Source organism: Homo sapiens, chromosome 4 (assembly GCF_000001405.40).
Source record: "Homo sapiens chromosome 4, GRCh38.p14 Primary Assembly".
In the NCBI taxonomy this organism is placed as follows: Eukaryota; Metazoa; Chordata; class Mammalia; order Primates; family Hominidae; genus Homo; species Homo sapiens.
In genome coordinates, this window is record NC_000004.12 from 3,281,059 (window position 1) to 3,306,328 (window position 25,270).

General features: G+C 54.6%; 1 protein-coding gene across 9 annotated transcripts in view, besides 8 other annotated features; it reads left to right on the forward strand.

Moving 5' to 3' along the window:
• Nucleotides 4,833–25,270, forward strand: part of RGS12 (regulator of G protein signaling 12) — a 154,023-nt gene continuing 133,585 nt past the window's right edge. For 7 of the 9 annotated variants that reach the window (NM_001394154.1, XM_011513543.3, NM_001394157.1 and 4 more), the window contains exon 1: nucleotides 11,963–12,041. The gene's annotated coding sequence lies outside the window, so the exon portion shown is untranslated. Of the gene's footprint in view, nucleotides 5,018–11,962; nucleotides 12,042–12,466; nucleotides 13,847–25,270 lie in introns of those variants that run through there. The other 2 variants (NM_001394155.1, XM_017008529.3) reach the window with 2 other exon arrangements.
• Nucleotides 11,269–11,378: a silencer, noted in NCBI's record as "silent region_15202". NCBI's record gives its function as "represses an Ori minimal core promoter by ATAC-STARR-seq in GM12878 lymphoblastoid cells {active_cell/tissue: GM12878}" and the evidence as "EXISTENCE:reporter gene assay evidence [ECO:0000049][PMID:35858748]".
• Nucleotides 11,559–12,038: a silencer, noted in NCBI's record as "silent region_15203". NCBI's record gives its function as "represses an Ori minimal core promoter by ATAC-STARR-seq in GM12878 lymphoblastoid cells {active_cell/tissue: GM12878}" and the evidence as "EXISTENCE:reporter gene assay evidence [ECO:0000049][PMID:35858748]".
• Nucleotides 12,049–12,098: a silencer, noted in NCBI's record as "silent region_15204". NCBI's record gives its function as "represses an Ori minimal core promoter by ATAC-STARR-seq in GM12878 lymphoblastoid cells {active_cell/tissue: GM12878}" and the evidence as "EXISTENCE:reporter gene assay evidence [ECO:0000049][PMID:35858748]".
• Nucleotides 12,752–13,337: an enhancer, noted in NCBI's record as "H3K27ac-H3K4me1 hESC enhancer chr4:3295537-3296122 (GRCh37/hg19 assembly coordinates)". NCBI's record gives its function as "activates a minimal SCP1, AML or CMV promoter by ChIP-STARR-seq in naive H9 embryonic stem cells {active_cell/tissue: H9 hESC(naive)}" and the evidence as "EXISTENCE:reporter gene assay evidence [ECO:0000049][PMID:30033119]".
• Nucleotides 14,122–14,317: a silencer, noted in NCBI's record as "fragment chr4:3296907-3297102 (GRCh37/hg19 assembly coordinates)". NCBI's record gives its function as "represses an EF-1alpha promoter that drives an FKBP-Casp9 reporter gene in an ReSE screen in K562 erythroleukemia cells {active_cell/tissue: K562}" and the evidence as "EXISTENCE:reporter gene assay evidence [ECO:0000049][PMID:32094911]".
• Nucleotides 21,664–21,713: an enhancer, noted in NCBI's record as "active region_21219". NCBI's record gives its function as "activates an Ori minimal core promoter by ATAC-STARR-seq in GM12878 lymphoblastoid cells {active_cell/tissue: GM12878}" and the evidence as "EXISTENCE:reporter gene assay evidence [ECO:0000049][PMID:35858748]".
• Nucleotides 21,734–21,793: an enhancer, noted in NCBI's record as "active region_21220". NCBI's record gives its function as "activates an Ori minimal core promoter by ATAC-STARR-seq in GM12878 lymphoblastoid cells {active_cell/tissue: GM12878}" and the evidence as "EXISTENCE:reporter gene assay evidence [ECO:0000049][PMID:35858748]".
• Nucleotides 23,400–24,049: an enhancer, noted in NCBI's record as "H3K4me1 hESC enhancer chr4:3306185-3306834 (GRCh37/hg19 assembly coordinates)". NCBI's record gives its function as "activates a minimal SCP1, AML or CMV promoter by ChIP-STARR-seq in primed H9 embryonic stem cells {active_cell/tissue: H9 hESC(primed)}" and the evidence as "EXISTENCE:reporter gene assay evidence [ECO:0000049][PMID:30033119]".

Here is a 25,270-nt window from a genome sequence, read left to right on the forward strand (position 1 = left end):
AGCTTTTAGCTGCTGCCCATCGTGGGGGAGACAGAGTTTGGGATTTGAGTCCAGTGAAAATACGTTTCTCTTAGAAGAAAATCAACACTTCTCAGATAAAGATAATAGAATCCAGAAGTTCTACAGCAGATCATTAATGATATCCAGCATACAGTAAAAAGTGTGAAGAAACAGGTATGTAACCTGTTCTCTAGAGAGAATGCAGACAATGGAAACTGACCCAAATGACCTACATATTGCAATCAGCATGCCAGAATCTTTTTTTTTTTCTTTTGAGACAGAATCTCACTCTGTTGCCCAGGCTGGAGTGCAATGGTGCAGTCTCGGCTCCCTGCAACCTCTGCCTCTCGGGTTCAAGCAATTCTCCTGCCTCAGCCTCCCAAGTAGCTGGGATTACAGGCACCTGCCTTCATGCTCAGGTAATTTTTGTATTTTTGTAGGGACAGGGTTTCACCATGTTGGTCAGGCTGATCTTGAACTCCTGAGCTCAGGTAATTCACCCACCTCAGCCTCCCAAAGTGCTGGGATTACAGGCATGAGCCACTGCACCTGGCGCAGCATGCCAGAATCTTACATCAGCTGTTCTAAGTATGTTCAAGGACTTAAAGAAAAACATTCTTATAAGGAATGAACAGACGGGAGAATTTAAGAAGAAAAACATATGCTATAAAAAGAATCAAATGAAAATTTAAGAAATGAAAAATACAGTAACTGAAATGAAAATTTCACTGCATAGGCTTAGAAGTGGATTGGATATGGCTGAAAAGAAAATCAGTGAATTTGAAGATACAGCAATAGAAATGGCCCAGTCTGAAGCATCTGGATAAAAATGATTGCAGCAGCATGAACAGAGCCTGGGCACGTGTGGGCACCATCATGTGGCAGACTGCATGTGGAACTGGGACTGCAGAAGGAGTTGAGAGAAATGAGGTAGAAAAAATGGTTGAAGAAATAAAGGTGACAGATTTCCAAAATGTGGTGAAAAACATAAACTAAACATCCAAGAAATCCAACAAACCCCACACAGGATTATTAGAAAATCGCACCCAGAAACATCATAGCCAAAATGCCGAAATCCAAACAGAAAGAGAAAAATCTTGAAAATAGCCAGAAACAATGACCTTACATGAAAAGAACAATGATGCATATTTTGGCTGACTTTTCATCAGAAATAATAGTGGTCAGAGGACAATAAAATGACAACTTTGCTTTTTTTGTTTTTTGTTTTATTATTATTTTTTTGAGACGGAGTCTTGCTCTGTCACCCAGGCTGGAGTGCAGCAGTGTGATCTCAGCTCACTGCAAGCTCCGCCTCCTGGGTTCACGCCATTCTCCTGCCTCAGCCTCCCAAGTAGCTGGGACTACAGGTGCCCGCCACCACGCCTGGCTAATTTTTTGAAATTTTAGTAGAGACAGCGTTTCACCATGTTACCCAGGATGGTCTTGATCTCCTGACCTCATTATCCATGTGCCTCGGCCTCCCAAAGTGCTGGGATTACAGGTGTGAGCCACCACGCCCAGCCTGCTTTTTTAAAAAACAATTTGGCAACATGCGTATGTATCTGGAAAAATATACTTCGTTTCATCTGTTTTTGAACCTTCTATAAATAGAATCATTTTGGCGTGTTCTGCTTTTTTCACTCAGCATTCTTCTGTGATTCATCCGTGGTGATGTCTACAGCAGCCTGCCATTTGCTGTCCCAGCTGTGTAGTCTCCAGTGCATTTTAGTGTCACACTGAGCCCATTCCCTTACTCACAGGTGTGTGAGTAGGTTCACTTCGTAAATCCATGTATGTTGCCTATGAAATTCTGCATTGACCGTCTGGGTCTCTTTCACCTGTGCTGGGCCCCCCTCCCTTCTTCAGAGCTGCTCTGCATTCTGCTTTGTGCCCGAAGGCCGACCTCTGCGAACTGCAGCCACCAGGCTCCCTTTCCTTCTGGCTTCTGGTTGGCTTTGGCCAGTGGGATACACCAGCAGAGATGGGAGCAGGAGGGCTGTGCTCTCTCTGGAGTCTGATAGCCCTTCGTTCCCTGAGCCTCGGCGGCCCATAGTGCTCTACTGTTGCCCGACCTGGGCTACCTCACTGCCCCCAGCATTTCCCTTAACCTTTCCACAGGTTTGTAAACAAGCCCCTCATTCAACAAACCTTAATCACTCCTTTTGAGTGTGCTATCTGTTTCTTGATTGATAGAGGAATTAATACCAGGAAAGGCCCCAGGAAACAGATTCTCAAAATGGGATTCGAAGGCTGGAATGCTCACATATTTGATGGCTACACAATAACTTCCTTAAGGGGGAAGCTGGGGCCTTAAGAATTCACTGCACACACAGGCATCACGATCACTCAGATGACTACCAGGGCAGGCATGGGTGAGGCCATGGTGTTGGGAGATGCCTGTGGAACTTAGACGCTATGACGACAATGGAGATGTGAATATTGGGTCAAGATAGAACATCCATTGAGATGAAGACAAATTGGAGGGCTTGAATCCCAGCAGAAGGCACAGGTGGAAAATCAGAAGACCTCTGTGATAGCGCAGAAGGGTTTCCTCATCTCCTGGAGCCATAGGACAGACAGGGCAAGAGTCAGGTGCAGGGCCTTGTGGAAGGGGCGGCACAGGTGAACCCTCTTGGTAGGTTCAGGGCACAGGTGGGGAAGGAGTGGGCTCCTAAGGCGTGGGGTGGGGACTTCTCGACAGAAAGATGAAATTAAACTTTGAAGCCACTGCAGGAGGCAGCCCAGACTCCAGCCTGAGAGGACGAGCCTTCCCTTGTTTTCAAAGACTTCACCTCCCACCCCCTGCCCGTTGGGATTTGCTGCATCCCAGCGTAATCTGGACAGAGAGGCGAAAGGTTGCTCTGGGCCAAGGTCAACAATCTGTAGGAGCAGGCGTTTGGGGACACAGGTGGAATGGGGTTCCAGGAGTGCCAGGCTAAGCAGGAAGCCGTACGGGACTGCACTGGCTGATGGCATCCACCTGGGTTTGGGAATTGGGTTGTTGGCTTGAGCCCCAGGGGCGGCATGAGCAATCTGCTGGGCTGGCTGAAGCCCAGCTCACCCTGGCCAATGGGAAGCGCCAGCAGGATGCCCTGGAGGGGAGGGCTGAAGGGCGGGTGTGGGGGTGAATCTGTGTGTGCTGGCTGCTCAGCTGCTCCCTAAACTACCCCACCGCCCCGCTGGGCGACATTAAGAAACATCCGGCGGGGCGCATGGCTCATGCCTGTAATCCCAGCGCTTTGGGAGGCTGAGGCTAGGAGTTCAAGATCAGCCTGGCCAACATGGTGAAACCCCTCTCTACTGAAAATCACAAAAATTAGCCGAGCATGGTGGCAGGTGCCTGTAGTCCCAGCTATTTGGGAGGCTGAGGCAGGAGAATCACTTGAACCTGGGAGGCAGAGGTTGCGGTGAGCCGAGATTACGCCACTACACTGCAGGCTGGGCAACAGAGCGAAACTCCATCTAAAAAAAAAAAAAAAAAGCATTCAGTGAGGGCCGGCACGGTGGTGCATGCCTGTAATCTCAACACTCAGGAGGCTGAGGTAGGAGGATGGCTTGAGTCTGGGAAGTTGAGGCTGCAGTGAGCTGTGATCCCACTGCTACACTCTAGCCTGGGCAACAGGGCAAGACCCTATCTCAAAAAAAAAAAAAAAAAAAAAAAAGGACTATCCAGTGGGAGGCAGAGGTAGCAGCCAGGCCACGGTGCTCAGTGTTTGGTCGAATGCCAGTCTAGATGTCACCGTGAAGGTATTTTTTAGATAAGGTTAACATTTAAGTCAGGGAACTGCACGTGAGGCCAATGACCTTCCACGGTGTGGGTGGGCCTCATCTGAGCAGTTGAAGGGCTTGAGAGGAAAAAGGCTCCCAAGGAGGAGGGAAGGCTGCCAGCACGGTGCTCTGGACTTGAGGGGCGGCGGCAGCTCCTCCCCAGGTCTCCAGCCAGCCAGCGCCTCCCTGTAGAATGCAGACCTGCCGGCCCCCACCAGCCCATGCATCAATTTCTTAAAATCAGTCTCTCCCCTTCCTCTCTTTCTGCATCTCTGTCTATCTGCACACCCTACTGGATTCTGTTTCTCTGGACAGCACTGATACGGAGAGCCCCATAGCATTCTTGGGGCATTTGCAGAAAAGTGGCCCCCACTGAGGACTTGACAGGTGGCCCAGCTGGTGGGTCTTGTCTGGATGGTGGGACAGCAGAGGCAGGGAATCCGGACCTGCGGGCTGGCTGCAGTAAGGGGAGACCGAGGCGGCCGCTCAGGCAGCGTGCGGAAACCATTCCTTCAGCTCCCGCTCTCTATTCATAGCAAGTGCTACGGCTCCAGCAGAGGCCTGTTTTGGGGGTCATGACTGAAGTGACCAGAGCAATGTGAGGGACAAAGGGTGTGCCAGGGTGGCGTGGCTGGGCCTCTGGGAGCACGGGGGCCTGGAAGGAAGGGGGACTGGTGCCCAGCGCTCTGCTACACCTCCCTTTGTCCTGTAAGTCCTGTGTCCGTGGCCTCCTCAGCCCTGGAAGCTCCCAGGGCCCAAGGACGCAGGCCACGTGGTGGCCTCCAGGACCCGAGCCGCGCGCTTAACCTCTCGGGCTGGGTCCGGCGGGCTGCCCCGCCCCGGAACAAGCCCCAGCCCCACTGTCACCGTTGGGGGTGAGCTCGAGGTGGTGCCTCCCGGCTCCTCCTCATCCCCTCTGCCCCCACCCCAGTCCCCTTCCAGAGCAGACTTCTGTCGACTGGCTGGTCAGAGCCACCAGGCTGTGTCCTGGCACAGGAGTTGTGCATGGGCGGGACTCTGGGTTCTCATGCCCTGGGGAGCGCCCGCGCCTGGGGCAGGGCTCCGTAGACTCCTTTGTCACCCCTCAGCTTCGCCGTGAGGAAAATGTCCTGCAAACACCAGCCCAGATGGAGGGAGCCACGGCTTCACCACTTCCTGCCGGTGTGCCGGGCTGCGCTCCAGGGACCGCTGGGGCCGTCACCAAAAGAACGGAGCCCAGGGAACGTGGAGAGGAGCCCAGATGCCTGAGGTGAGCAAGGCAGTGCCTCCGTCCAGCCTGGCATGTCCTTCTGGTTATTCGTGAGGCCACCACAGGGAGGGTCACCAACTGTCTGTTTTGCCTAGGACCGAGGAGGTTCCAGGGGTGCAGGACCTTTGATGCTTAGAGCCAGGAGAGGCCACTCGGCCACCCTAAGGGCAGGTCTTCTGCCCCAGGCCGCGTGTGGTTTCTTTCGACACACTGAGGAAGCCTTTCTCCTGAGATCACCAAATGCAGCCTGCCCGGTTTCTGTTCCCCATTACTGCGTATGCGGTGGGCAAACCTCCTCCGGCCCTGAAAGCTCCTGGCTGCCTGGGGATTTTCTGTGTGCTCCTACATAAAAAGCAGCTTCTGTCACTCAACTGGCAAATACAGTCTCAATTCAGAGTCAGTCCAAATCCATTACCCTAACCCTGAGATATTAATCCAAGCTCCATTCTTGGTTTAAAGCCAGCCCCTGTGGGCCCTGCTCCCCCGGCCTCCTGGGGTGGAAGCCTGTGCTGGGGGCTGCGGTGTGGGGTTTGCTCTCCTCCCTCCCGCAGGTGGATGCAGGGCGAGGGAGTGAGGAGGAATGAGGGTCAGGGGCAGGAAAGGCAGCCTGTGGCAGCCAGGCGGGGCCAGCGCTGCACACCGGGGAAAGGCTCAGCGGGAACGTGTTCCCAGCACTTTGTCTCCCCAGGCCTCAGTTTCTGCATCTGTAAACGGGCATGTGCAGGGTTGTGAGAGGGTCAGAGAGCCCCCGTCAGGCCCTTAGTGCGCTGCTAGGCACCGAATGGGAGCCCGGTCAGCAGTGCCTGCGGGAGCCGACGCTGCTCCGGCAGGATTGAGTGGAATTCCGCCCAGGCCGGGAGCTCCCTCGGGCTGGGGAGGCCTCGGGGACCTGGCTATGATGGTGATCTGGGACTTGATGGGTGAATGGGTTGGGGCCAGCATCAGCTTTGGGCATATATTAGGGAGTTACTGAGGAAGACAGAGAAAAAGGGGCACCTAGTTCTTTTATAATCCTCCGGGAAAAGGTGAGCTCTGAGCGCTACCTGCTCACTGAACAGCGGAAGAGCGAGCAGCGCCCAGGCCCCGACGCTGTGCAGAGCCCCGGGAGGGCGGCGTTTGCGTGATTGTTCAAGGTGGACTCGAAGAGCAACATTTAAAACATTTCCGATGTCATTTTCTTGTTTTGAGGCGATGCTTTCTGATTTATTTCACGTTTATTTTCTGTAAAGGAAAACACCCTCCTAAACATACATTTTCTCAAGGCACATCACATGGTCTGAAAAAAAAAACAAAAAAAGGACATCTTCTCCAAATTGGTATTCCTCCAGCTGGAGCAGCTCTGTTGCTGCCAAGCTTCGGTTCTTTGACAAGAAGAGACATTTCAAAGCCGGGTCCCACAGGAGGGGTTCACGCCACACACGTGGCCAAGCCCTTCCTGATTCCTGAACCTGCCCCTGCCCGCTGGCCTTTGGGACCTCCCCAGCCCCTGGCCCTGGCGGCCCGAGGAAGTTCTGTGTAGGAATAATATGGTCTACTTAATTAATGCATATTTTATTTGGTGACAACGTCCCTAATTGCCATGAGCTCTACTTAGTAACAATATGCTCTATTTAATTAACTTTGTGTATTCTGGTTAAAAACATTATGCTTCATTTAATTTATTTCATCTGCTCACTGATGGTGAATTCCACAACACGGGCACAGGAGGCTGCCCCACCTGGAAGGTAGTCCCGGGACAGAGCATTTCAGATGTGGCAGAGTGCAGGCAAGGGGCTGGCAGGCTCATTTGTCCCACGGGGCCTGGGTGGGGGCCCTCAGCTCCCACATCTCCCCCAAACTCACCGGGCCCCACACAAACCTGTCCCCTTAGCTCTGTTTGGGGGCACGCCAGCCCCTTCGCTCCATCCCTGCCCTGCTTCCCAGCGTCAGCGCCAGAGTCCCTCTGGGTCCTCCCCCTCCCATGGCCGAGCCGTCGAGAGACACCGTGGGCCCGTACCTGCTGGCCCTGAGCTCCCTGAGCCTGCGTGCTCGTTGCTCTGAGCGCACACAAGGATTCGATGGCAGATAAACTACTGCCGCATGGGGAGTGTGCGCAGACCCCCAAGAGTGATGGGCCCGGCGGGTGTGTGGGGTCTGGTGGGCGTGTGGGAGGGCTGGGGCTGGAGTGGGGACACTGGCTTCACAAAGGTTGTGACACAGAGCTGGGCCCTGACAGGAGGGGGGCAGCTGACAAGGGGGCCCCGTGGGTGTGGGCAGCATCCCCACTGGGCAGGAAGGGTGTGAGCCGCGCAGAGGCCTGCCGGACGCCTGGCCACCAGCACTCCCCTCTGGGCCTGGCTTCCTGGTGCAGCTCCTGAGGCACAGCTTCCCCCATGCTTTGGGGCCAGGAAAATACTCACTGGGGACATGCAGGCCCATGGGTGTCCCTTGAGGTGGACCTGGTCAAGCTCTGACGAACCCCAACTCTCTCGGGAGGACAGATGGGGTTTGGGTTCCTCTGTTGCCTGGGTCGGCTCAGACCCTGACACAAGCAAGCCCCCAAAGTCTGGAGGTTCCTCCTTTCCGGGACGTATGGACCCTGGCATGTTGCCACAGGCCCAAGGGAAGGCTAGGGAAACACCTGCTTAGAGGCTGACAGGGCATTCCAGGGCCTTCTGCAAAGGGATCCGGTCCCCGTGAAGGGACTCTGGGCCTTTGCACCGATTCCCACATGGAGACTGCATGAGGCATGTGGCTTGCTGGGGGCCTCAGGGGCCCCAGGTCCCAGCTCCCAGCTCTCCTTGTCTCTAATTATGGACGCCGTCAACCCTGAGTGAGCCGCCATCCCCCCACCCCTACGAGCCCCATTGGTGTAGCCCCTAGAGTGGGCTGACTCCAGCCTGGCTGCCCACTCTGCCTGCCATTCCCTGCCCAGGAAGTGCATCTACCTGCCTCTGCCATCAGGATCCTGTTGCCCTGCTGTGGGAGGGACCCAGTCCGAGGTCCCACCTCCCCCTATCAGCCTCCACCTGCTGAGGACACCCACAACCAGGTCCCCAAGTAAGGTGTGGGCCCCTCAGAGAACATTGTTTTACATGTTTTCTTATTGGGGTAAAACACACATGACGTACAACTTACCAACTTAACCATCACAATTTTTTTTTTTGGAGACAGGATCTCATTCTGTTGCCCAGGCTGCAGTGCAGTGGCGCGATCTTGGCTCATTGCAACCTCACTTCTCAGGCTCAAGTGATCCTCCTGCCTCAGTCTCCTGAGTAGCTGGGACCACAGGCACGCACCACCACGCCCAGCTAATTTTTTGTGTTTTTGGTAGAGACGGGGTTTCACTGTGTTGCCCAGGCTGGTCTCCAACTCCTGAGCTTAAGTGAGCCACCTACCTCAGCCTTCCAAAGAGCTGGGATTACAGGCATGAGCCACCGTGCCTGGCCTACAATTTTTATTTTTTACTTTTTTAATTAGTGCAAATCCCATAGTATATTTATATATTTTTAATTAACAAATGAAAAATTGTACAATCTGATGCTTTGATATATGTTTACACTACAGAGTGATTAAGCTAATTAATGTGTCCCATCATTCACATCCCATTTTTTGTGATGAGTACATTTAAAATCTACTCTTAGAGATTTTCAAGGGTACATTATTATTGACTAGTCATCATGCTGTACAATAGATCTTCTGAACTTAATTCATCCTGCATAGCTGAAACTTTGTGCCCTTTGACCAATGTCTCCCCAATTCCTACCCACCCACAGCCTCTGGTAACCTGCATCCTACTCTCTGTTTCTGTGACTTGGACATTTTCAGATTCCACATGTAAGTTAGACCGGGCAATATTTGTCTTTCTGTGCCTGGCTTATTTCACTGTTATAATGTCCCCCAGGTTTATCTGTGTTGTTGCAGATGGCACATTTCCTTCTTTTTAAGGCTCCAGAGTATTCAGTAATTCACGATGTTTTCTTTATCCACCTAATCCATCGACGAGCGCTTAGGTGGGTTCCACATCCCGGCTATTGTGAGTGGTGCCGTGCTGAGCCTGGGAGTGCAGACGTCTCTTTGACACACTGATTTCATTTCCTTTGGATACATACTCAGCAATGAGATTGCTGGATCACACGGTAGTTCTAGTTTTGATTTGTTGTGGAACCTCCATACTCTTTTCCATAATGGCTGTATCTTAACCATTGTTAAGGGTACAGCTCAGGGGTATCAAGCACCTTCACACTGTTGAGCAAACATCTCCACCCATCTCCAGAATGCTTCCATCTTCCCAAACTGAAACTGTCAATAACTTCTGTCCTCTTCTCCCCCGCCCCTGCCACCCACCCTTCTACTATCCGTCTCTATAAATGTACCTACTCTAAGAACCTCCTATAAGTGGAATCAGACAGTATCTGTCCTTTGTGACGAGCTTATTTCACTTAGCATAGTGTCCTCAAGGGTCATCCGTGTCGTAGCCTGTGTTGGAATGTGGGGGGACGCCCCCACACCCCGAGTCCCGTGGAAGAATTATCATCCATCCCACTTGTTCAACTCAGGAGTGCCTCCTTAAGCAACTGTAGCCTATGAGCTGTGGGTAGGGCCGCTGAGCCGCTGCCTGGCAGGCACGGAAGAGCAGGTGCACGCTTCTCCATGGCCCTCCCTGTGCCAACAGAGGCCGCCCTGCCAGTCTGGGCCCAAGAGTGAAGCCTACAGGAGGAGAACCACAGGGGCCAGGGACTGACCACCCAGAGACTTGGGCATGGTTCTGTGTCTAGCCCCTCCAGATGGACTGAATGAGTTTTGCTTAATTGGCAAGACCTACCTTTTCAAAACCTTCCAGCATGACACTTGACACCTTCTCTCCGTCTCAGGCAATTTCTCCCCACTTCTGGGGGCCCTGGCTTTCACGGGGATGGACTAGGGTGCTTCCTCCCACAGAAACAGCTTCTTGGGCCACCCCCCTGCTGGGCATGAGTTCTCTCACAGGCTCGGTGACCCCTCGTATGAGCTGCTCGTCCTCTTCCCCTACCCCTGTCCATGAGGCACCTGGAGGCCGGGCAAGTGTAGAGGAAAAAGCCAAAGGGAAAGAAGAGACCTGCAGGTGGTGTTTCCCCATCTCTCACTCAGGGCCACTTGTCCCTGCCCTGGAGCCTCAGGAGGCTGAGCTCTGCGGCCTGCTTCCTTCTGGCTTGGCGCTGCTCTGGAAGATTCCACCATCTGCGCATAGGCAGGAGCCAAGAAGGTCCACAGTTTTGGGGGGGCCAGGGTGGGGGCAGTTTCTTTCCTGGCTCTTTTTTTTTTTTTTTTGAGATGGAGTTTCACTCTGTCACCTAGGCTGGAGTGCAGTGGCACAATCTCGGCTCACAGCAACCTCCGCCTCCGGGGCTCAAGTGATTCTCCTGACTCTGCCTCCCAACTAGCTTCGACTATAGGCGCGTGCCACCACGCTTGGCTAATTTTTTGTATTTTAGTAGAGATGGGGTTTTGCCATCTTGCCCAGGGTGGTCTCGAACTCCTGAGCTCCGGCGATCTGTCCGCCTCAGCCTCTCAAAGTGCTGGGATTACTGGCACGAGTCACCGCGCCTGGCCTCTTCCCTGGCTCTCTCTGCTGGGTCATCAAGGGCTGGCTGTGTCCCTTGGCCATAGGTCGCAGCTCCTGTTAAGTATCTCTCTCTCTTTGTCTGGCTTCCTGTAACCGCTCTGGCCGCGCTCCTTCAGCCCTGCAGGTGAAAACAGTTCCCTCCCTGCTGTTACCTGTCCCAATTCAGCACCGCCCTGTGGCTTCCCGGCTCCCGGACCGCGCCTCTGCCAGCGGGAACCCTGCTGGACTCTTAATTAATTGTCCCACTGAGAATGCCATTGGTTTCCTCCTGGGATCCAAACTAATCACACAAGACTAGATGATGGAGAGCTGCCAAGAAACCATGGGGCGGTGGCGGGGACGGAGGGGAAGCGTTTTGAGCCCATCAAGGCAGGTGACAGGAAAGAAGCAAACCCGAGAGGGGCCGAGTCCCTGGGCGGGCGGCAGGGCTGGAGCGTGAACAGCAGCGACGGATGCGTCTCGAGGGAAAAACGCGGCGGGAGAGAATGAGGGGAAGGCAGGAAGGAAGGGGCAGGGAGACCCAGCGCCGGGGAAGGAAGACACGAAGAGGGCGAGGAAGGAACTCCGGCCTAAAGGGTGAAGGCGGCGGCTGGGACAGGGCCAGAGGCGCAGGCCGGGGCCGGGCAGCTCCTCCTCTCGTGCCAGCGGTGCCTCCGGTCCCGCCCTCGCTGCTGCCCGCGCTCCGGGAGGGGCAGACCCGCTGGACGCCGCAGTCACCGCGCCGCCTTCGCGGGCGTCCCGGGGCCCGGAGGGAACGGCCTTTCCTGGCTGTCCCCGTGGCTTCGCCGCGGGAACTCACGCCGCCCCCGAAGCTGCCGCCAGCTCCGGGCATCTGCCCAGCCGAAAAGCCAGGGCGCCGGGGCCTGACTCCCCACAGCCAGGTTTCCCGGGCACAGAGACCCAACGGGAGCGGGACTTCCTCGGACACCGACGGCGAAGGACAGAGACAGCCCAGGCAGGGGCGGCTCCTCCCGGCCACACCGACCTGCCCTTCGCAGGGTGTCCCGGGCCAGCGGAGGCAGAGAAAACCAGCTTGCGGGAACGCAGTCGCTCCCAGCACCAGGGCCGGGCCAGTGCGGGTACACACCGTGCGCACCAGCGCCGCCGCGCCCCCAACGGAAGTCCCGCCCCCGGCCGTGGAGGCCCCGTCCCTCGCTTCTTCTCATCCCTGCTTCCCTGGCAGTCCCGTTACCACGCTGTCCCGACGCGAAGGCCCTCGCCCCGCCCCGTGCCCCGCCCCCGCATCGCCCCGCCCCAACCCCACCCCCTTGGCCCCGCCTCACCAGGTTCGCCCCGCCCCTCTCCGTCCCCGCCCCTCCTCCGGCCTCGGCCCCGCCCTCGCCTCGACCCCGGGGGGCGGTGGCTGCCGAGGCGACCGTTGCGCGCGCGGGCGGTGGCGCGGGCCGAAGCGCCCGGAGCGGGAGCGAGCGGCGCGGCCCGGTAGGTGTGCGGGGCCGGGGCCGGGGCGGGGGCAGGGCGCGCCGCCTCCGCTCTTTCTTTCGTCTCCGGGGCGCGCGCCCGCGCCCTCCGCCTCCCGGCCGATCCCGGCCAGCCCTGCGCGGCGCCCGTCCCCTCGGGGTCGCCGCCCGCCCGCCCTGCCTTTTGTTCGCCGGCCTGACTCAGGCTCCTGGTCCCGGGCCCGGCGCGGGGCGGGGCGGGGCGGGGGCGGGGGCGGGCGGCGCGGGGCGCGGGCCTGTGGGGCCTCCGGCCGGGCGGGTGCGCGGCCTCCTGGGGCCCCGCGCTGTGAGGCCCGCCCGGGCCCTTGGCGGGACCCGCGGGGGCGGCGCCGGGCAGGGGGTCCCGCGGGCGAGATGCGCCCGGGAGCGCTGGGAGGGTTCCCTCGTCGGACTCCACGAGCGGCCGCTTTGTTAGGGCAGAAGCTGCCTTCCGAGACCCGAACTCCAGACGCACTGCAGCGACCTGGGGTCGCCTCAGCCGCGGTGCCGCGATTGTGCAGTGTAGACAGAGGGGTCCCAGAGCCGTGCGGTGTAGACAGAGAGGGGCCCAAAGCTGTGGAATGGGGACAGAGAGGGGACCCAGAGCTGTGGAGTGTAGACAGAAAGGGCGCCCAGAGCCATGGAGTATAAACAGTGGAGTGTAGACAGAGAGGGGGCCCAGAGCTGTGGAGTGTGGACAGAGAGGGGGCCCAGAGCCGTGGAGTGTAGACCGAGAGGGGGCCCAGAGCCGTGGAGTGTAGACAGAGAGAGGGCCCAGAGCCATCTAGTGTAGACAGAGAGGGGACCCATAGCTGTGGAGTGTAGACAGAGTCTCATAGCCGTGCAGACAGAGAAGGGGCCCAGAGCCATGGAGTGTAGACAGTGGAGGGTGAACACAGAGGGGGCCCAGAGCCGTGGAGTGTGGACAGAGAGGACCACCTGGCCTCTCACCTGCTTGGTCACTTGCTGGGAATGTGTCCCTGGGCAGGTGACCACCTTCTCTGTGCCTGAGTTTCCTCATTGGACCTGTCTTTGGAGCTGCTGCAAGGGCTAAGAGTGTCTTTGTCTGAAGTCCTCAGCGTGGTCCATGCCGTCCTGTGCAGGGCCCTTCTGAGGCCACAGGGACGTGCAGGATGGCCGGCAAGGCCTGCACAGAAGGGGCGCTGGGGGGCCTTCCCAGGCAAGGCAGCAGCCCCACCATTCACAGCAAGGAGACTACCAAGGAGGGCAGAGAGGCGGCTTTGGGCAGCAAGGGCTGCTGGGGTGGAGTCCTGCTGGCCTTCCCCTAGAGAAGGCGACGTGGGGAGGGCAGAGCAATTCTGAGTAAGGGAGAACCAGTTTATATTTCACTTTAGAAAGTAATTGTCACAGTGCGAAGTTTCTTCCCCTGAAAAAGCGATATAAAAAGGTCCATCGTGGCCAGTGCTTTTGGGGACTTGAGATGATGGGTATCCGGTGCCCGGGCCCTGCGTGGTGCCTCAGCTGGATGCTCTGCAGGTGGGGGAGGCCATGTTGGCTGAGGGCAGGGGCTCAGGCAAGGGCAGTGGGGTGGCTGAGCCTGCACAAGTTGGTGCACCCCTGTCTGGGTCTTTTTCTTAAAACTGCAAGTCCAGCCTTATCTCTGAGACCTCCTGAGGCTGGAACCTGCCATCAGACAGGCTTACAGTTCTAGCCCTGGTAACTGCAATGATGCGGATGCCTCTGTGACTGGCAGAGCAGAGGGAGGAGCGACAGGGCAGTGGTGACCGGAGGTCTCAGGGAGGTTGACAAAGACAAGGGCGGAGGAAAGGCCCCTCACGTGGACTGGAGGTACAGTACTGACCTGTGGAGTGCTCAGGAGAGGGCAGGGGTGGCGCGGCCTGAGGGCATGTCCTGGGGAGGGTCAGGAGGTGGGAGGGAGGCACTCGACAGGCACTGCAAAGAGGAGGGAATCCAGGGTCAAGGGCTGGCTCCCTTTCTGCCCTGTTTAGGATGAGGGTCTCGGGGAAGAAGGGGTGGCCAGGCCGAGGAGACCTGTGGCGCTGGGAGCTGGGACTCAGTGAGGTCCTGGAGGTGGTGAGGGCCCAGAGGTGACAGCTGGTGACCCAGCCGGCCTGGCTGCTGCTGTGGGAAGGTCGGGGGTAGAGGAGATGGAGGACAGGCTGAGGCTGCCGCTAGTCAGCGCTTCCGGCTGATAGAAGGGGGCTGAGTGGGCTCTGCAGGCCTGGTTGACAGTATGTGGATCACATTGACTTTGGACCTTTATTTTTGTCTGAGACTGACCAAGCAAAATAATCAGGCTGGGCTGGGTGCAGTGACTTAACGCCTGTAATACCAGCACTTTGGGAGGCTGAGGCAGGTGGATCACCTGAGGTCAGGAGTTCGAGACCAGCCTGGCCAACATGGTGAAACCCCGTCTCTACTAAAAATACAAAATTATTCGGGTGTGGTGGCAGACGCCTGTAATCCCAGCTACTCGGGAGGCTGAGACACAAGATTCGCTTGAACCTGGGAGGCGGAGGTTGCGGTGAGCCAAGATTGCGCCATTGCACTCCAGCCTGGGTGACAAGAGCAAAACTCTGTCTCAAAAAAAAAAAAAAAAAAAAAGCTCCATCTCAAAAACAAAGACAAACCAACAACAACAACAACAAAAAGCAGGCTGAAGGAATAAACAACTCATTAGTTACGACTTAACACATGCAGGGCTTCAAGCACACAAAATCCTAAAGCCCAGACCATTTTACATTTTATTTGAATTTGGTGGAATTCCTAGAAACATTTCCCTTCCCAGTTGTATGAGTTTCCTATTGCTGTGTAACAAAGCACCACTCACTTAGTGGCTGAAAATGGCAAAAGTTTATTTGCCCTAGTTGGGCTGAAACTGGTGTCATCGTCAGCTGGCCAAGCTCCCTCCCGAGGCACTGGAGGAGAACTGTTGGCCCGCCCCAGTCAGCTTCTGGAGGCTGGAGGAGAGCCGTTCACCCCCCTGGTCAGCTTCTGGGGGCTGGAGGAAAACTGCCCCCCTGGTCAGCTTCTGGGGGCTGGCCTCATTCCTTGGCTCCCGGCTCCTGCCCTGCCTCCATTGTCACATCGCTGTCTTTCTCCTCCTCTTTATTTTCTCCTTTTAGAGACAGGGTCTCACTTTGTTGCCCAGGTGGAGTGCGGTGGCACAATCATAGCTCACTACAGCCTTGAACTCCTGGCTCAAGCCATCCTCCTGCCTCAGCCTCTTGAGTAGCTGGGACCCCAGGCATGTGCCACCATGCCCAGCTAATTTTTTCTGTTTTTTTTTTTTGGTAGAGATGGGGTCTCACTATGTTGCCCAGGCTGATCTTGAACTCTTAGCCTCAAGTGATCCTCCTGCCTTAGCTTCTCAAAGGGTTGGGATTGCAGGCACGAGCCACCGCGCCTAGCTTCTGTCTTCTTCTGCCATGTTCAAATTTCCAGGATAATCTCCTTGTCCTGGGAGCCTTAGTTTACTCACATCTGCAGATCCGTATTGCCGTATGGCTTTCACAGTCCCAGGGATTAGGGCCTGGATATCTTTGGGGATCGCTATTCAGCCTACAGCAGGCTCCTCACTTGTCTTCGAAATGACTTCACTTTTCCCATTGTGTGCGAGGAGCACCCGTCTCATGCCTCTTCTCTGGGATGGGCAGGGTTTGTCCAGGGAAGGTCCCTGTGGTTTCACTTCCCTGCCCTTGGGGAGAGGCGGGAGCCATCCTGGAAACAGGTGTCCTGGGAAGGAAGACAAGCCTTGCTCAGGATGCAAGCCCCAGTCATGAGAGGTTGTGGGAGGTCACTCATGCTGTGCCTTTTTAGGAGGTGGGGTCGTTACCAGTTCCAAACTGGATACTCCACACAGTGCTCATGCAGTTTTACCTGTGGTTTTGGGGGCCACCGTTGCAGAAGTTGCCTAGATTCTTCCATGAAGGAGCCTCTTGCCTCGGGCTCCGGGCAAGGAACTCTTGTGTTAGAAGTTCCCTTCTTCTGTGTCTTTTAAGGTCTGGACTTCAGTGAAAGAGAAAAGAAACATCTAGTTTGTTCTTTCTGTTTTTCTTTTCTTTCTGCTTTTCCATGCACTTGCTGTCCCCAACTCTGTAATCATGGTGATACCCGATACGCATACACACTCTACTCACATATCTTTTCCTACATCTTTGTGTCCCTTAGCAGTGATCTTAGTTGTCCTTCCAGCATGCCTGAAAAAGGGCTGAGTCTGTGGATTGAAGCGTCCAGTTGTAGGCATTCTCCTGCCCTGCCTGGCCGCAGCCCCCAGAGGCGGGATCCTAAGTGGTCTGTTTTCTCAGGCATTTACTGCTGTTGAAGCTGCTCCTTTAAAGCTTAAGACATTCTTTTTTTATTTCTCCCAAAGGCCGTGGGGAGGTTTAGCTCTCCTCTGTCCCACCAGCCTCCCTGTCCCTCTATGTGCCATCATAATCACTGCATTTTTGGTGAAATCGACAGTCCTTGCTCTTGTGTGACTGTAAGCATTGCTCATTACTGCGCCAAGGAGTGCCCTGAGCACAGGTCCTCTCGCACAGCCCTGTGGATTAGCATCTTCTAGTCACCCACCTATCAAAATGGTTTGTTTTTCATTGCATCCAGGACACTAGCCCCATCCCCACCCCTTTGGGATTGGAGCCTTCTCCCTGCTCTCGTTTGCCCTGGTCTCCAGGAGACCTGCTGCGCCGCTGTCACCTGCATTTCCCGCTGCTGTCCTCCATCTGTGGGGCTCCCTGTGCACTGGGTCCTGCTCTTCTCTCTCTGCTTGGCTCACTCCTCGTTTTGCTGAAGTCCTACTCTTTTGATACCTAAGAAACATCACATAGGTATTTTTTTTGGTCCTTGATTTAGAAAACATCTTTATTTTACTCTCCAATTACCTTTTAACTTAGCTGGGTATAAAATTTTAGACAATGATTTTTTCGGAATTTTGAAAATGTTGCTTCATTGCATTTGGTTTCTGTGCTGTTGAGGTCTGACGCCATTCTGATTTCAGTTCTTCTGTGTGTGATCTCTCCTGCCTCAAGCTCATAGAAGCGGCTCTTTTCCCTCAGTGTTCTGAGAAGCCCGATAATGGCATCTGCTTCCGTTTATTGTGCTGGGCACTCCGTGGGCCCTTTCAGTCTGAGGATAGAAGTTTTTAAATTTCAAAGATAATTTTCTTTCAGTTTTGCTGTTTTCTCTTTCTGGAACTTTTATTTGGAGGTTGGACCTCCTAGGTTGATCCTCTAATTCTCTTTTTTCTCATCTTGTTGATCTCTTTGATGTTTGTTCAATTTTTTTTTTAAGAGACGGAGTCTCACTCTTTTGCCCAGGCTGGAGTGCAGTGGTGCAGTCATAGCTCGCTGCAGCCCCAAACTCCTGGGCTCAAGCGATCCCCCTGCCTCAACCTCCTGAGTAGCTGGGAACACAAGCATGCACCCCCACAACTGGCAATTTTTACTTTTCATTTTATTTTTTCATAGTCTCGTCATGTTGCCCCTTTGCTGTTTCTAAGAAGTCAGTCACTCTGGTAGCTGCGTTGCTCCTTTATGTTATATGATGAGGTGCTTTCAAGCTCCTCCTGGGATTTTTGGCTTCCAGCAGTTTGATTGTGATGTTCTTAGGAGGGTTTGCTTTGTATTTGTCCTGCTCAGGGTTTGTTGAACTTCTTGGATATGTAATTTTTCACCATCTTCAAACTGCTATTAAGTTTCGTGCATTTTAAAATTTCAGTTACAGTAGTTTTTATTTCTAGAATTTTCACTTATTTTTTATGGTTGCCATTTCTCTGCTCTGTCATTTGTTTATTGTGATCATACTGTCATTAAATCTTTGAACACATACTAGCGGCTTTAATGTTCTTTTCTGCTAATTTCAACACCTGCATTACCTCAGGATCAATTTCTATTGGCTTCTTCCAACTATGGGCCACATCTTCCTGTTTCTTTGAACATCTAGTGTTATTTGATGGTGTACTGGACATTGTAGATGGTAACTGTAGTGACTTCTTTTTTCTGAAGAGTGTTGATTTTTGTTCTGGAAGTTAATTTGTCTGGACTCAAATGAAAATCTCTGCTGCAGTCTCTGCTTGGTGCTGTTGACCTTCCGGCTGCCTCCTTCTGCTGGACTCTGGGGTCTCTCTGTGCATGGATGGCTCACCACTGGCCAGGACCTAGGCAGAATTTACTAACAGATCTCACGACTGCCTCTTCCCCAGTGACCTCCTTTCTGAGATATGCCCCTCACTGTTCAGCCACCCAGCCCTCCCCAAGCCCTATCTTGGACTCTTCAAGCTGGGAGGATCACAACTTCTACCTGTGCTCTAGCCATTTTTAGAAACACTTGTTTTAGTTGGTGCAGCTCTCTCCTTTCAGGGGACAACTCCCCTCCACTTTCTGCCTGCTTTTCATAGCTCTCCAGGACCTCCCAGAGTTGGTTTTTGTGTCTTGTGTCTGGTTGGAACTTGATTTAGCAGCGTGGGAGGATGTGGGAACTGTCAATTTACGGACAGAGCTGCCGGCACTTTGATTAGTAGCCAGGCATTGGTCTTTGGCAGTTTGCTTGTTTTTCTCATAGAGCGTTCAAGTGATCAGGGAGCTAGCACTCCAGTTAAAAGAAAGTTCTTCCCCTACCAACACCTGACTTCTGGATCTTAAGTGTTAGCCTAGAATAGATGCATTTCCTGGATGGGTCAACTAACCTGATGAGCCTGGTGGCAGAGAGACTGTGCGTCCTTTATTGCCTTCCTCTGATGCGAGCACCATAAGGATAGGGCCTATGGGCTCTTCTTTGACTTTCCAGAGGCCCATGACCCCTGGACCCCTGGACCCCACGCAGGTGTGCTAGGCTGGGTCTCCTCCAGGCTCACTGAGGGTGGGAGGAAAGGCTCAGCCTGGCCTGTGGCTGCTGTTCCGCGGTCTTCACCTCACCCCCACAGTCTTTTCTAACTCTGTGCTGCAGTTTGTCTATAAAATAAGGTTGTTGTGAGGTTTAAATAGCATGATGTGTGGAAAACGGTTAGGAGCAGTGGCTGATACCTGGGAGTCCTGGTCACCATTAGCGATGGTGCTGGTGGCATCGCTGCAGGCTTGCACTCTGCTGGGAACAGGTGCTCGCCTCGGAGGCGCCCAGGCCTTCACTGAGTGCATCTGGGTCTGGCCCCCACTGTGTGCCAGGCTGCTGGAGACAGCAGTGCCGCGGGCTCTGCTGAGCTGGAGTGCAGTGAAGGTGCTTTAGGCAGGGTGAGGGGCTGGCTTGCCCCGCCTGCCAGAGCGCCCTGCACTCCAGGGGCCTGGAGTCCAGCCTGGGAGTTAGTAGACAATCGTGTGGAAGAGGGACAGCTCTGTGGATTCCAGCCTTTAGCAGCCAGATTCCTCCCTGCGAGGCTGGGGACGTTGGCCCTGGGAGGAGGAGGACTGCCTGGGCCCGCCCCTCCTAGGAGTTCCTGTGCCTGCTGGCACAAATTATCACCAGCGAGGGGCTAGCCCAGTAGCAGCCCCCGGTCCCGTCACAGTTCTGGAGACTGGAAGCCTGAAGTCAAGGTGTGGCAGAGCTGTGACCCCTCCGAAGGCTTTAGGGGGAGACCCTTCCTGCCTCTCCCAGCTTCCAGGGCTCCCGGCATTGCTAGGCTTGTGTTTGCATTGCTCCAGTCCCTGCCTCTGTCCCCATGTGGCATTCTCTCACGTGGCTTTCTCTGGGTCTGTGTGTCCCTTTTGCCTCCCTCTTTTACGGACACCTGTGATTGCATTTAGGACCCACCTGGGAAATTCAGGATCATTGCCTCATCTCAGAATCCTTAACATAATCCTTTTCCAAATAGGGTCACAATCACAGCTTCTGGGGATTGGGCCCTGGTATCTTTGGGGCTGCCGTTTGCCCCACTGCACCTGCCTAGACCTGGGGGTGGTGAGGAGCCACGTGAGGAGGTCACAAGGGCACAGCGCTTCAGGCCCCAGGAGCCTCCCCGGCTGCCCTCCTCTGTAACACGGGGTCTGTCCCCGGCTGCCCTCCTCTGTAACACGGGGTCTGTCCTGGCTGCCCTCCTCTGTAACACGGGGTCTGTCCCGGCTGCCCTCCTCTGTAACACGGGGTCTGTCCCCGGCTGCCCTCCTCTGTAACACGGGGTCTGTCCCGGCTGCCCTCCTCTGTTACATGGGGTCTGTCCCGGCTGCCCTGTGGGCAGGACAGGTGCACAGCTTGTCCTTAACACGCTTGGTGCTGAAGAGGCTCACAGTACTGTGAACATTGGCAATGATTTTGTCTTTCTGAGAGTGGATAAGATACTAAAAGCAAAAGGACCCCTTCAGGCCTAGTGAACACAAAACAGTGGTGGAACCCTCTGTGTCTTTTTCCCTTGAATCCTGTAGGTGGGTTACCAGGTGTCGGTGAATAGGAGAATCACATGTAGGAGGCTGATTGGAAATAAGACCCATTTGTTGATGAGAAAAATTGGTTTCAGTCTTTCTGGGGTGTTTTGGGCTAAGGAGAGGCCCGCCAGGGCCAGGGATGGAGAGTGAGGCCGGGGTCCGAGGGCCGGGGATGGAGAGTGAGGCCGGGGTCCGAGGGCCGGGGATGGACAGTGAGGCCGGGGTCCGAGGGCTGGGGATGGAGAGTGAGGCCGGGGTCTGGGCTGTGCTTGTCCTTTCCTGTCCTTTACCTGCCACTGTGGGTTTTGTCCAAGGAAGCAGGTATGAGGGAATGAAGGGGTGGGGGGCGCAGAGGTGACATGTCCAGGTGGGGTGATGGGGGACCTCCGAGGTGCCAGCAAGGAGGAGGAGAAGAACATGGACGTTGGAATGAGCCAGGTTTAAACACAGCCTCTCTCCAGGGCTAGACTTGCCAGGTACAGTGTTGCCGCACAGCATTTGGGGCGCACTCATACTAGGAAGTTGTCATGTATCTGAGATTCACATTTAACTGGGTATCCTGTATTTTTTTTTTTTTCTAAATCTGGCAACTCCATTTATAGTCTCACTCTGCACAGATTTAAAAACCACAAACAGAAGTAAATATCAAGTAGAGATAAAAAGGGAAAGTCAAATACAAATGGAAAGGAAGAATTGAGGAGGTTTGACCTTCAGTGTTCCAAAGATACTGAAATAGTGTTTGTTTCTGGAATCAGGAAGTTTCATCAGCTGTGGCGCACGGGGGTATCCTGGAGGGCTGTGGCCTCCGTGTGTCCTGTTCACTTTTCCTGAAGCCAGGTCATCACCAGGCCGGTGCCCAGAGTGAGCTCACAGGGCAGGCCCTGCTGGACTGACCGCAGGGTCAGGTTGGCGCCTGTGACGTGGCTTTGGGCCCTGGCCGTTGTGGTCTGGGGTGGGTGGGGTTGGGGGCTTGGCTCCCGCTCTTGTCTGAGTGTCTTTGTGGTGTGGTGCTTCTGCAGGATTGGAGTTTCTGGAGTTCACGTTGTGTGGCCTTCAAAACCACAGAGACACGGGCAGGTGGGGCCTGCTGTGCTCAGCCCCTCCCAGCCTCTTGTGACTGGTGGGCTCCGCTCCCCCTGCTTACAGAAGTGGTTCCTCCTGCCCCTTGCACGGGGGCCTGTGTGTGTGCCCACAGCACCACATCAGAAAGCCCCGGAAGGCTGTGGGGTGACGTCTCTGTGCATGAGAAGGGAGGCGCCCCAGGAGTGAACAGGCACAGCCGGAGTGTGGGGCCCCTGCTCTGTGGCTAGGTTCTCAGAGCCTAGAGGCTGGGGGTGTTGGAGGAGTCATTGGGGGCCTCAGGTAGGAGGTGAGCTATGAGCTGAGCCACAGAGTCGTGGGGGGAGGAGAGAGGGCCCGTTTCAAGAGAGAGTGATTTTTGCAAATGGTGTCCTCCTGCATGGCCTGGCCCTGCTGTGCACTGTGGCATTGGGCTGTCTTAACTGTCTGTGACCCCGGGGCAGCTGGCCCTGGGAGTTCAGGACCGTCACTGGTTGCCTGTTCGTAGTTGCCCACCTGGAGCTGCTGCAGAAGCCACGAGACAGTTCTTGAATGAATAAACGAATGAATGAGTGAGCAGGAAAATCATGGGGCCACGAGGAAGTGGGTCTGACCGAGGGGGATGTTGAGGTTTGGGGAGGGACCCAGTGAGAGAGCCTCAAGAGGCTGGACCCAGTGGGACAGGTGCTTGGGCAGGGATTAGGAAGTGGGGAAGGACAAAGCGCTGGCAGCTGTGGGCAGGAGGAGGGTGAGGGCAGGGTGGGCCGGCAAGTGGGGTACAGCGGGGAGTCCAGCAGGAGGTGTGGCCACCATGCAAGGTGAGCCTCGGTACGGCGACCTAGGCAGGGAGGATGTGGGAGGGCCTCCGACTGGATGGGGACACAGGTGACAGCCACAGGGCACCTGCTGGCTCCCCCAGTCTCACCTCTGTGGCCCTTGCTGGAGGACACTGGAACCAGCAGTGCTGTATTTCAGCATCTGTGCAGATACTCTGTCCCTGGAGGCTCTTTTGCTTCATGGACTCTGGGTCCTTGGAGGATCCTGCAGAGTTTCCCCTCCTTGGGAGAAGCCCCCTCCTCTTCCTCAGCAACTTGAGCTTGCCCTGGTAGTGGGGGGAACAAGAGGAAGGAGGAACTAAGCCAGCTTGTCTCCCTGGGTGCCTGGCTTCCCCCCGCCCCACAGACCTGCCCCTGATGTGTTCTCTAGAAGTAAAACGGAGCTACAGAAGCTAAAGCCAGTGTTCACACTTTATGTGATTAGTATTAGTGTGATGTTAGCACAACTATTTCTTCAACTTTATATGACTTTCTGAATGCTACTTCCTTTTACTGTTGCTGGACTGTAATAGTATATACCTTTTTCTCAAGTGTTCAAAGAAACGAAGCATTCTGAAAGTTGCCAGTCTTTAATTTCTTCTTTACCTCTTATTTCTTTCCCCTAATCATTCATGTTTGCCATACTTCTGAATTCTAAAAGCTGCATTAGTTTTTGAGTGAATTCTCTTGTAAGCACTGAGTCGCTGTGCTGCTGCCTAGCAATGTGTGGGATCTTTCTGAGACTGACAATGGAAGAGGAAGAAAGCGCATTTGCTCCATGAGGCCGGAATTGAGGCATTTAATGTGTGTGTCCCTGATGCTCAGCCTCTTGGTTTCTTTGGATTTGAAATGTTAAAACCTCAAGAAGTGACATTTATTAAAAACCCACGAAAAACTATGCATGATGACAAAATGCTGACCTGGGACATTTTATGTATTGTACTTTTCAGTTCAGCCTAATGTATTATTCAAAAACTATGCATATTTATTCAAAAACTACTCATAATGTTGGTGGCTGCTGACCTGCTGCCTAAACGTAGGTTATTAGTATTCAGATTCAGGAGACTAAAGCTACCCAGGAACTGAGACACTCTTGAGAACCAGGTAGTTTTTGTTAGTGGAAACGTGAGCTTTGAGGGAGGCCGCTTTCTCCCGGGAGTGTGCTGGTGGAGAGGGAGGCAGCTGGGGCTGCACTGTAGAGCCCGGACTGCAGTCAGCCAGCCTGGCTTTGAATCCTAACTGCCTCCAGTCGTGGTGCTGGAGCCTCGGTTTCCTCATTTGTAAAACGGGATAATTAGACTTCGCTTGTGAGATTATGATCAGTTCGGCTTCTTTTTAGCCGCTTTTCCCCATTCTGTAGAGTTTGTCTCTGGTGTATCTGGTGTGATTTCCTTAATCACCTCCTCACAGAGTAGATTTCAGGGACCATTTTTGAAACTACCTGCTTTACATTGCCACCTAGATATAAGTACAGCACCATTTTGTGCTTATAGCAGGAATGGCAGCAAGTCAAACGACCCTGGAGCTATTTTGCATCACGTGGCACGTTGGTTCGCTGCCGCTGTGCAGCACACTGCGTCTGTAGCTGCAAGGCTTCTGGGATCAGGAGTCCTGCCTGGTGAGGCTCACGCAGGGCTGTGATCAAGGCGTTGGCCAGGGCTGTGCGATGAGGATTCGTTTCCATGCACACTCATGAGGCTGCTGGCAGCCTCAGAAGATCCATTTCCAGGGTCGCTAATATCGCTGTTAGAAGACCTCACATCCCTGCTGGCTGTTGGCCAGAGACATCCATTCCTTGTCACGTGGGCGGCTTCCTTGGGCAGCTCACAGCCAGGCAGTGACTTCCCTGAGAGGGAGTGAGGGAGAGCATGAGCGAGACGAAAGCCATGGTCTTTTGAAAACCTCATCTTGGAAGTGACATCCTATCTCTTTTGCACATTCTGTTTGTTAGAAGCGAGTCGCTAGGTCCAGCCTACACCCCAGTGGAGGGACTGCAGGGGCAGGATGACCAGGAGGTGGTGTCATGGGGGCCATCTCAGAGACCACCTGTCACTGTGCACCTGCTGGTCCCAGAGATTCATGTCCCTCCCATGTACAAAATACACTCCCCGCAAGGTCCTTCCATGACAGCATCTGCTCAGAGTCCCGCGTCATCCTCTAAACTGGCTCTAGGTGGGCTGAGATGCAGCTCCTGGGGTGCACGGTACCCCGGTCTATTGACCTGAACTAGAGAGACACGCCGTCAGCTCATCCAACCACAGCCACGGTGCCATCATGGCAAGCACCACAGGCCAGACCTTCCTGTTCAAAATGAGGGAAAATGGAGGCAGGAAGGAGCCTCAGATGTGCCTCACTTCCGAGACCCAGCCTGGCAGATGGTGGCAGTTCAGAGGCAGGAAGGAGCCTCAGGTGGGCCTCACTTCCGAGACCCAGCCTGGCAGATGGTGGCAGTTCCTTGTTCAAGTGTCATGATTTGGGACTGATAACTGTCCCTCTGCCCTTGGAGGCTTTGATTCCTCTCTCTGACTCATGCTTTCCTTTGTTTGAAACACAGCAGCTGCTTGCAGTTGAGTTGTTTTCTCAGCCTGCTTCCTGCTGATAGGATTTCCGGGTCCAGCACCCACTTTTTATTTTGTACTGCCTCTGACCCTTGTAGTTCAAGCTGGCAGTGATAGTTCTAACTTTATGGGCCTCCTGGGAGTCTCACTGGTGTCCATTCCATCAGGCACGAGCCATACCTGGCATCCCTCTGAGATGAGCCCTGCTCTGCCTTGGGGTCCTGAAGGGTGAGGACTAATGCCCATAAGCTTCTCAGGGCCTGGCTATTCCATGAGAGGCTGTGAGGCCCACCCTTCGTCTCTTTACAGAGGCTCCAGCCATCTTGTTGGTGCTCAGCACACAGCACCATTGTCTTGATGTCACATGCACAGCAGGCTTGCCTTGGACAGAAGCGGAAGGAGGAGCTGGCTGGCTGGAGCATTGGGGGCCGCCTGGCAGTGGGCTGCTCAGAGGAGAGTCAGTGGCAG